This window comes from Homo sapiens, chromosome 5 (genome assembly GCF_000001405.40).
Source record: "Homo sapiens chromosome 5, GRCh38.p14 Primary Assembly".
Taxonomy (NCBI): domain Eukaryota; kingdom Metazoa; phylum Chordata; class Mammalia; order Primates; family Hominidae; genus Homo; species Homo sapiens.
Genome location: NC_000005.10, coordinates 1306087 through 1317380, shown reverse-complemented (window position 1 = coordinate 1317380; position 11294 = coordinate 1306087). Strand labels below are relative to the sequence as shown.

General features: G+C 46.4%; 1 non-coding gene across 1 annotated transcript, besides 3 other annotated features; it reads left to right on the top strand.

Annotated features, from left to right (window-relative positions):
- Positions 636–785: an enhancer, noted in NCBI's record as "active region_22307". NCBI's record gives its function as "activates an Ori minimal core promoter by ATAC-STARR-seq in GM12878 lymphoblastoid cells {active_cell/tissue: GM12878}" and the evidence as "EXISTENCE:reporter gene assay evidence [ECO:0000049][PMID:35858748]".
- Positions 1076–1465: an enhancer, noted in NCBI's record as "active region_22306". NCBI's record gives its function as "activates an Ori minimal core promoter by ATAC-STARR-seq in GM12878 lymphoblastoid cells {active_cell/tissue: GM12878}" and the evidence as "EXISTENCE:reporter gene assay evidence [ECO:0000049][PMID:35858748]".
- Positions 4284–4353: an enhancer, noted in NCBI's record as "active region_22305". NCBI's record gives its function as "activates an Ori minimal core promoter by ATAC-STARR-seq in GM12878 lymphoblastoid cells {active_cell/tissue: GM12878}" and the evidence as "EXISTENCE:reporter gene assay evidence [ECO:0000049][PMID:35858748]".
- On the top strand, positions 8004–8071 carry MIR4457 (microRNA 4457). The gene has a single exon (NR_039662.1). It is a non-coding gene; the product is annotated as a microRNA 4457 (primary transcript).
- Positions 8072–11294: the final 3223 nt, after the last annotated feature.

Genomic DNA, 11294 nt, shown 5'->3' with positions numbered 1-11294 from the left:
GGCTGGTCTCGAACTCCTGATCTCAAGTGATCACCCGCCTTGGCCTTTTGAAGTGCTGGGAGTACAGGCATGAGCCACCACACCTGGCCTCTAAATATATAATCTTTTTTTATTCCTGGTCATTTCCTTGCTCTAAGTCTCCTTTGCCAATAACAGCTTTCATCCTCTTGTGTTTCTGGAACAGGCTCCCCTCTCATGGGCCTGGCTTCCTTGCAGCTGAGGGGCTTTGGGAGCCCTGCTCAGAGCCCCAAGCCTGCAGGCCTGTTCCATGTGTCTCCACGTAAATGGACGAGACACACCATTCCAGGATGCTCATTCAGGCTGAGAACCAAATCCAGATGCTCTCAGTCCATTCGCAGATGACAGTGAAGTTTCTGTACACTCTGCTTTCTTCTGGATCAGATAAATCTTTTATAATTAAGGTGTTGTAAACTTCACTCGATTTGAGAGGAATGCACTGGGGCTTCAAGTTGTCATCTTTCAGTTTTATTCATTAAAATACGAAGATACCAGATGAGTTGGCACAGGAAAACAAATACGAATACACGGCCTGTACTGTGTTACTTAGTCGTGTGTTGTAAGTGGGGTCTGGAAGGGTGGCTGGGAGAGCGGGTGAACTGCCGGTTCCAGATGGGACGCACAGCACCTTAAGGGGCCTGGGGGGGCACACGGGAGGCGGCTCCAGAGGCAGGGCAGATAGTGGGGGCCCGCAGGCAAGTCAGCAGTGGGGGAAAGACAGCAGAAGGCGTGAGGGTCTTCATTGGTGTATGTGAAGGTCACGAGGTCACACGGCCCTGCCCATCACAGGTGCGTCGGTCTGCGGGGAAGTTGAGGCATCAGGGAACAGGAAGTTTTAAACGTTTACAATGGATCTTACCCACACAGGCCGTGCCTTTGCCTGCGGTGTCAGATTACTAGGGCGGGGTGCGGTGGAGGGTGTCCCTTCCACACCTGTGGTTTTATTTGTCTTTGGGGGAGGGGAGCCTTGCTTTATAAAACACAACTGGCTGTGTTCTGTAAGGCTTCACCCAGCACATCCTGTTGGCAGCAGCTAAGCACACAAACGGGAAAGGAGTATCGCCCAACTCCACCGATGAACTCAAAGTGCCTGGCTTTGCCTGGGGGATGCTGGCAAGGTTAGGTGCGGTTCCCAGCGTTTCTTCTGCCTCCTGGGGCACATCCCGCGGTGGGTCAGCGCCTGCGGCCGGCTGCTGCAGAAATAGCGTCATTCGGCCCCTGCATCAGCAGCCAAAGCCGGGCCTAACTGTCAGGAGCTCCGTGGATAGCTTTGCTGCTCTCGCTTTTCAGTTTCAGTATCAAAAATAGTTGCTACAAGAACTGATTTTTGTCATAGCACCTGCTCTTCCATTTGGGCTGGCGTGCTGAGCAAAGGTGGGTGCAGGCGCCTCATCAGCCTGACAGCAGAGTCAGCTTAACCTGAGTTTTCAGGAAGCACCGTGGCAGGCCCCCAAAAGGGGCAGATGTCCACCGTGCACTGCGTCTGCTTCTGCAGTCGGCCCTCCAGTGCCGTTTTCTTTCACCTGCAAAGGGCCTTAATGCGTGAACCAGCTGCTGGTGACTGTTAGTCTTGCTCTGTTTAAACAGTAGCAAGTTGCAGAGTGTTCCTTTGAAGACACCGCAAGTCACGTGTGTCAGTTACTCCTGAGAGGTTTCTGGGGCGCCTGCCTCTCCTTTCTTTAAGATGAGCAGAGGTTTAAAAAAAAATGAGTTTGGGGAATGAGCCTTGAAAGTCCTTCCAGCTTCAGGACCGGCACTTGCTCTGACAGTCTGACTTCTGCCCTGTGGGCCGGCGCTCCTGCAAATGGGCAGTGTTTCAAGAGAGGACTGAGCCTCATGCAGATCCATCTCATGGGAACCCTGAAGCTTCACTGACCAACAGAGGCTCCACCTGGGCGACTTGAAACATGCTTAAAGGGTTTATCTGTCATTCATCCCGATGAGTTTAGTTCTGTTTTCCTCTTGGATTTCATTGATATTTCTGCATACCATCAAAGCCCTGTCTTATGATTGATCATGAGGTGGGACTTAGAAATGCGCTAAGTACCTGTGGATTTTAGACTGTGTCAAAGCCCTCGAAGCTGAAACAGAGGACTGACAAGGTGAGGGCCCGGGGTCCCCCACGGTGGAACTGCAGTGTCCTGATCGCAGCTGGTGGGCTCCGTACCTGGGCAGGATGGGCTCTACTGGAGCAGCCAGTGTCCAGAAGGAGCTTCTGTCTCTACCCCTTGGCACTGGCCACTCATTTTATAGAAGAGATTTTCTTTAGACCAGAGTTTATTAGAAAGCCAAGGAAAATGAGAACACGTCCCCCTGTGAAGTACCTGCCACACATAGCCCTGTTGAAGCCAGTTTGGTGGCTGTTGGGTCTTTGGCAACGAGATCAGTCTGTTGGCCTCGGCCCCGGTAAGCCCCACAGGCCAGGGGTCTGGAGGAAGGATGGGGTGCAGCCTGCGATAGGTGAGGCTACGGAACCCTGACGAAGCAGGGGCTGTGTTCGAGGAGTGATCCATGCGGAGGAGGGAAACCAGGAGGAGGTCTTGGCGTATACCACACTGCTTACCCCTTTCCTGAAGCAGGCACAGGACCCAAGGGGGTGTGGCGCCCTGTGGCCCACCATGCTTTCAGAGCAGCAGCCTCTGCAGAGACACTGGTCCCAGAAAAGCCACCGCCTGAGTGTCCCCCAGCCACGGCCACCATCCCCACAGCTTTCATGCTTCAAGCAGCATATTTGTTCTCTGATGGTTCTGGAGGCCAGGAGTCCAGACCAGACCTCCCTGCGCGGCCACTGGGGTGTGGGCAGGCCCTGCCCTCCAGGGGCTCCAGGTGCTCCGTTCCTCGTGCTCTCCACCTCGAGAGCTGTGCTCCTTGCATTCCCGGGCTTGTGGCCTTCTTCGCCTCACCCTAACCTTTGCCTCCGTGGTCATATCCCTGATTCTCACCCCGACCCTCTGTGGTTACATCAGTCCCAGACGATTACCCAGCATCATCTCCCATCCAAGATCCAAGTGTGATGGTGGCCACCGAGTCCACTCTGGCACGTGGGATCACATCCGCGGTTCTGGGGCTGAACCGGGATGTCTGGGGGGACATGCCCACCTCCCCCTCATCCTGCCATTTCCCTTGTTGAACCTTCAGTGTGATGTCCCAGTGGCTTCTGTCCTGCTGGCTGGACTCAGCTGGTGCACTGAGAGGCAGACACTTTTTTTTTTTTTTTTTTTTTGAGACGGAGTCTCGTTCTGTCACCCAGGCTGGCACTGCAACCTCTGCCACCCGGGTTCAAGCGATTCTCCTGCCTCAGCCTCTCGAGTAGCTGGGGTTACAGACATCTGCCACCACGCCCGGCTCATTTTTGTATTTTTAGTAGAGATGGGGTTTCACTATGTTGCCAGGCTGGTATTGAACTCCTGACCTCACGTGATCTGCCCGCCTTGGCCTCCCAACGTGCTGGGATTACAGGCATGAGTTGCTGCACCAGGCCGGCAGGCACTTTTAAAAAACTTGTTGCTATACAATTTCCACACAGTGTCATGGCAGATGCACCCCGTGCAGCTCAACAAGCCCTGCATGCTTCCAGACTCCAGCACCAAGCACCCGAGTCAGGCTACAGACAGACCCCGGCCCCACGGGGCCCTCTCAGTGGAAACCAGGCGGGTGAACCCAGCCCATGGGTCACCGGGTCCAAGTCCCACACATGAACAGTCATGCTGGGAGCTCTGGTACCCAGGTTCTCGGGCTGGGCTCTGTCTGGCGTCCATCTGTGTTGTCGCAAGCGGTGCTCATTGTGACTTTCTTCCATGTGGCATTCCATGGCACGAACCGGGGCCGTTACGGATCAAATCATGCACGTGGCTGTGCCTGCCTTTGGGCACAGACCCAGGGGGGACATGGCTGTTGTGGTGCATGTGTGCTGAGCTCCAGTACATGTCACCCGTGTTCTAAGGGGTCTGTGCCACTCTGGCTGTGCACTGTGGCATGTGAGCCCCATGGCATCACCCCTTCTCCAGCACACAATGCTGCTGTCTAATTTTAGCCACTCTGGTGGGTGTGTAGTGGAGCCTTTTCGCGGTTTAAATGTGCATTTCCCTGCTGACTAGCGGCGTTGAAAACCCTTTGTATCCTCACCAACCCTCTGGGTGGCTTCTCTTTGTGTTTTCTGTTTCCTGTTCCCTCCAATCACACCTTGCAGAGCTGATTGTGCAGGGCTGGCTCACTGAAGCTGCCGTGGCCACGGACGGTGAGGCTGAGACCATTTCCTCCTGTCTGTTGTCTAAAATCATCCCCTAAGGCATTTGTGGATGCAACTGATGAAACCGCCTAAGTCTGCGGTTTCCTTTGTGGGATATTTTTTTCACTACTGTTTTAATTTTTGTAACTTCTGTGATAATAATACCATGCAGATTTTCTATTTCCCCTTGATGTTTTATTATATTTTGTTTAAAGAATTTGTCCGTTTGACCTAAAATGACAACTGTCTTTTTTTTTTTTTTCAAGACAAGGTCTAACTCTGTTGTCCAGGCTGGAGTGCAGTGGTGCAATCTCAGCTCACTGCAGTCTCAACCTCCCTGGGCACAGGCGATCCTCCCACCTCAGCCTCCTGAGTAGCTGGGACTACAGGCACACCTGGCTAATTTTTGTATTTTTAGTAGAGGCGGTTTCACCATATTGGCCAGGGTGGTCTTGAACTCCTGACCTCAATTGATCTGTCCACCTCAGCTCCCCAAATTGCTGGGATTACAGGCCTGAGCCACCATGCCCAGCCAATTTTTGTATTTTTTTGTAGCAATGGGGTCTTGCCATGTTGCTTAGGCTAATCTCAAACTCCTGGGCTCAAGCAATCCACCACCCACCTCGGCCTCCCAAAGTGCTAGGACTACAGGTGTGCACCACTGCGCCTGGCCCAAATATCAACTGCCTTGGCATGACATTGGCATAGCACTGTCTTGATTTACGTGACACCTGTGGCAACGTCTGCTTCTCCACCCCTGTGTGAGCTTGTGGGGGCGGCCACAACAAAGCACTGTGGCTGGCAGCTTCAATAGCAGACATTGGCCAACTCAGTTCTGGAGGCCACGGTCCCAGATCAGGTGTGGGCAGGACTGGCTCCCTCTGAGGCTGCGAGGGATGCTCTGTGTCAGCCTCTCCTTGGCTTGTACATGGCCGTCTTCTCCCTGTGTCCTCACATCATCTTCCCTTGATGCCCGTCTGTCTCTGTGTCCAGATTTCTCCTTCTTATAAGGACACCAGTCACTGGCTTAGGGCCACCCTAATGACCCCATCTTAACTAATCACACGTGCAAATATTCTATTTCCAAATAAGGGCACATTCTGAAGTTCTGGGGGTTAGGACTTTAACACGTAGATTTTGGGGAGGACACAGTACAATCCGTAACAACTTCTTATGAGATCAGAGGTGGGACTTGGACCCCAGACCCAATTGAGGACTAGCTGAAACACAGCCAGGGCGGAAGCGGCTTTCCATGAGACACACCCACCAGTGTTTACCATTGCCGTGGCAACCCCCAGGCGTTACCACCCACTTCCATGGCAATGACCCCACTACACAACGGTTACTACCCCTTCCCTAGAAATTTCTGCATAAACCGCCCCTTAGTCTACATGTAATTAAAAGTGGGTACAAACCTGACTGCAGACCTGCCCTGAGCTGCTGCTCTCAGCACACCACCTATGAGGAGCCCTGCCTGGCAGGAGCAGCCCCGGGGCTGTCACAACACCTGTGGGGAGCCCTGCCCTGGACGCATTGACTTCGGGAGCCCTGCCCTCAGCGCGCCGCCTGTGGGGAGCCCTGCCCCACGGGAGCAGTCCTGGGGCTGTCACACTGCCTGACCTGTAACCCTGCTGCTTCCATACAGCTGTTTCCTTCCACCCTACTGAGGCAGGAGAATAGGGTCTGGAGGCAGGGAACCTAAGGCTGATTCACGCTGACTTCCTAGAACGAAATCAAAAGGAAAACCCCAACTTTCCATGCCCAAGTTACCAAAGAACCAGAAGCTATTCCCTTTGCAATACCTCCCCCTTTTTTCTGAGTGGCAGATGAAAAATTGAAAGTACCTCTGATGAGTCCCCTCCTGCAACCAATCAGACTGGTCGTGGGCCAAGTCTTCATTTGTATGGGAATATAATGCTGTAACTTCAATTCAGCCTCTGATTGTTCGCTTCCCACAACCAAGCCAACCAACTGTGGGTCACTACTTCATTTACATAGGGCATACACCAAGTAACCAATGGGAAACCTCTAGAGGGTATTTAAACCCCCAAGATTCTGTACCTGGGCTCTTGGGCCACTTGCTTGAGCCCACTCCCACTCTGTGGAGTGTACTTTTGTTTTAATAAATCTGTGCTTTTTTTTTTCATTGCTTTGTGGATTTTGTCCAATTCTTAGTTCAAAACACCAAGAACCTGGACAACCTCCACTGGTAACACTACCACTGGCTCATCCTTGAGTGAAGCCAAGAACCCTCACCTGCTAAGCCCCACTTTGGGGCTTGCGTGTCCTGCATCACTTACATAGTTACTTGTATCTTTATTTTTCTGGAATGACCTGTTTTTGTCATTTTCATTATTATTAGTTTTTCTTAGAAGAGTAAATGTTAAATGTTTAGCTTTGCTGATTGTTGATATTTTGTTTTCTCCTTCACTAATTTCTGCTCAGATCCATTACTTGTTTCTTTGTACATTCATTGGTCTATTTTCATATTTCATTTCATACCTTTAGAGCTGGTTAATGAGCTCATTAATCTTTAGCCTTGTTCTAGGAACTTTCACTTCTGGACAAAATGAAGCAACAGGAACGGGATTCGTCCTCCCATTTGACATGACAACACAACCAACAATAGACTAGACAAAATGTATGAAATCACAGCCCTAAAGATCCTGAAGCTCAGCCAAGGAAAGAAGGTGAACCTCAAAAGGCAGGAGCCAAATGCGGCAAGCCTACAATCGCTTACCTGGGAAGACTGTCCGGGCAATGGTGCCCACCTGAGGCTGGACCTGGTCGTCTCCCTGGGGCGAGGAGATGGAGCTGGAGACCAGGGAGGCCAAGGTGGCTGAGGTCTGAGAAAGCACTGGAGGAGTGAACTGTGTGGAAACTGGGCTTCAGGATATGTGGCTGATGGCTGGTCGGCATGTGTGTCAGAAAAAGGACTGGATTACAGGAAAAGGTCCAAATAAGAACAACCCAATAGGATTGGAAGGAATGGTGTTCCCACAGCAATAGTGCCGGTTCTAATTAGCCAGAGCAGAAAAGCTTCTAATTCACCAGGTTTTTTTGTTGTTATTTGTTTTGTTTTGTTTTTGTTTTTGTTCGTTTGTTTTTGAGACAAGGTCTTACTCTATTGCTAAGGCTGGAGTGCAGTGGCGCGATCTTGACTCACTGCAATGTCTTCCTCCCGGGTTCAAGCAATTCTCCTGCCTCAACCTCCTGAGTAGCTGGGAGTACAGGTGCATGCTACCATGCCTGGCTAATTTTTGTATTTTTAGTAGAGACAGGGTTTCACCATGTTGACCAGGCTGGTCTCAAACTCTTGGCCTCAAGTGATCCACCCATCTCAGCCTCCCAAAGTGCTGGGATTACAGGCATGAGCCACCGCCCCCAGCCCTAATTCACCAGGTATTGACTGGAGTACTCAGTAGAGCCTGGCCTCAGAGACAGGGTCTCACTGTCACCAAGGCTGGAGTACAGGGGTGCGACCTTGGCTTACCGCAGCTATGACCTTCCCAGGCACAGGTGATCCTCTCACCTCAGCCTCCCAAGTAGCTGGGACCACAGGCACATGCCACCCCATGTGGCTAATTTTTATATTTTTTGTAGAGACAGAGTTGCACCATGTTGCCCAGGCTGGTCTCAAACTCCTGGGCTCAAGTGATCCTGATCCACCTACCTCAGCCTCCCAAAGTGATGGGACTACAGGCGTGAGCCACCACGCCCAGCCCAAACGTCAATTATCTTGGCATGATGACTCTTTGGAGTACTCCAGTCAATACCGTGTGAGTTAGAAAAGCTCAATTCACAAGGTATTGACTGGCGTATTCAGAAGAGTCTGGCCTCAGTAGCGGAGAAAAAACCTTCCTCGTGGATCAACCCCTGCCCTGGTCCCACTTACTGGAGCCCAAGCACAGGATTCAGAAGGATCGAGTTTTTCCAAGGAATGTAACTGTTTCCCAGGAAAAAACTAAACAATATTTTTAGGAACACAAAAATATACATCACCAAACAAGATGAAACGCACACTGCGTGCATCCATATTACCAGGCATGCGAGGAAGCAAGGAAACAATTCCTGCAATGGGAAGAAAACCACCCAGAGCTTACCGGGGAGCGACAGACATGACAGAATTAGTAGAAAAGGACATTAAACCCGTTGATCACCTTTATTCCGCGTGTTCAAGTCGCTAGAGGAAAGATTAAGATGTTAAGGCAGAGACATGGAAGATAGCAAAAGATCCTTGTCAAACATCTACAGACAAAAAGTGTAATGTCTGAGAAGAAAAATACATTGGATTAGATCAATGGAAGATGAGGCATTGCCGAAGAAAAGATTAATGGATTTGAACACACAGCAACAGAAACTACATGAAGTGAAACACAGGAAAAAAAAGATAAAGAAACGAAAAGAAAAGGGCATCAGTGAGCTTCAGCAGAAGTTCCATCGGCCTTACATATGTGTAAGCAGAGGCCCTGTAGGAGCAGAGGCAGGGGGAAAATACTTTAAGAAATAATGTCTAAAAGTTTTTCAAATATGAGGAAAAACATAAAACCACAGATCCAAGAAGCTCAACAAAACAAAGCACAAGAAACAGGAAGAAATTAAAAGTTATATCACAGTCAAATTGCTGAAAACCAGCAACAAAGAGAATATCTTAAGAGTATCAGAGGAAAAGAGATTAATGACAGGCCAAGAAACAACGAAAACAATACAGATTTCTTGTAGGAAACACAAGACAAAAGACATTTTTTAAAACCAAAAGGAAAAAAAATGCTACATTAAAATGTTTTTTACCCACTGAAAGTATATTTCAAAACATATTTTAGGCCAGGCTTGGTGGCTCACACCTGTAATCCCAGCACTTTGGGAGGCCAAGGTGGGTGGATCGCTTAAGGTCAGGAGTTCGAGACCAGCCTGGCCAATATAGCGAAACCCCATCTGTACTAAAAACACAAAAATTAGCTGGGTGTGGTGACACATGCCTGTAATCCCAGGTACTCAGGAGGCTAAGGCAGGAGAATTGCTTGAACTGGGAGGCAGAGGTGGTGAGCCAAGATTGCACCAGTGCACTCCAGCCTTGGTGACAGAGTGAAACTCCATCTCAAAAACAAACAAACAAAATACATATACATAAATATATATGCACATATATATACATATATAAATATATATACACATATATAAATCTATATACATATATACATATATACACATATATAAATCTATATACATATATATACATATATAATATATTTACATATATAAATATATACATATATAAATATACATATATAAATACATATATAAATATACATATATAAATATATACATATATAAATATACATATATAAATACATATATAAATATACATATATAAATATATACATATATAAATATACATATATAAATATATACATATATAAATATACATATATACATATATAAATATACATATACATATATAAATATATATACACATATATAAATATACATATATAAATATACATATATAAATATATACATATATAAATATACATATATAAATATATATACATATATAAATATATAAATATACAAGTATATACAAATATATACATATATAAACATATATACGTATATACATGTATATACGTATATACGTATATACATGTATATACGTACGTATATACATGTATATACGTATATACGTATATACATGTATATACGTATATACGTATATACATGTATATACGTATATACGTATATATATAAATGTATATACGTATATACGTATATATATAAATGTATATACGTATATACATATATATATAAATATATAAAAAAACTTTTGGCTGGGCACCTTTCCAAATCTCATGGCACATATAAGTCTCATGGTAACCTCAAATAAAAAAACATATAACAGATACACCAAAAATAAAAACCAATAAATTAAATCATGCCACCAGAAGAAATTACCTTCACTAAAAGGAACACAGGAAGGAAAGAAAGAAGGAAGAGAAGACCATGAAACAACCAGAAAACAAACAACAAAACAGCAGGAGTAATTCCTGACTTATCAATAATAATGCTGGGTGTAAATGGACTAAACTCTCCAATCAAAAGACATAGAGTGGCTGAATGGACGAAAAAAACAAGACTCAATAATCTGTTGCCTACAAGAATATACTTCACCTATAAAGGGACACATAGACTGAAAATAAAAGGAAGGAAAAATATTCTATGCAAATGGAAACCAAAAAAAGAACAGAACTAGCTACACTTATATCAGACAAAATAGATTTCAAGACAAAAAGTACAAAAAGAGACAAAGTAATTATATAATAATAAAGCAAAAAGATATAACAATTGTGAATTTATATGCGCCCAACACTGGGACACCCAGATATATACAGCAAATATTATTAGAACTAAGGAGAGAGAGAGATCCCCATACAATAATAGCTGGAGACTTCACCCCGCTTTTAGCATTGGACAGATCATCCAGACAGAAAATCAACCAAAAAATTGGACTTAATCTATAATATAGAACAAATGTACCTAATTGATGTTTACAAGACATTTCATCCAGTAGTTGCAGAATATGCATTTTTTCCTCAGCATATGGATCATTCTCAAGGATAGACCATATATTAGGCCACAGAACAAGCCATTAAAAATTCAAAAAAATTGAGCCAGGCATGATGGCTTATGCTTGTAATTACAGCACTTTGGGGAGGGTGAGGTGGGAGGATCTCTTGAGTACAGGAGTTTGAGACCAGCCTGGGCAAAATAGTGAGACCCTGTCTCTACAAACTTTTTTTTTTAATTAGCCAGGCATAGTGGTGTGTGCCTGTAGTCCCAGCTACTTAGGAGGCTGAAGTGGGAGGATCACTTGAGCCCAAGAGTTCAAGGCTACGGTGAGCCATGATTGCAACACCACACACCAGCCTTGGTGACAGAATGAGACCCTGTCTCAAAAAAAAAAAAAAAAATTGAAATAATATAAAGCATCTTCTCTGGCCACAGTGGAACAAAACCAGAAATCAACAACAAGAGGAATTTTGAAAACTAT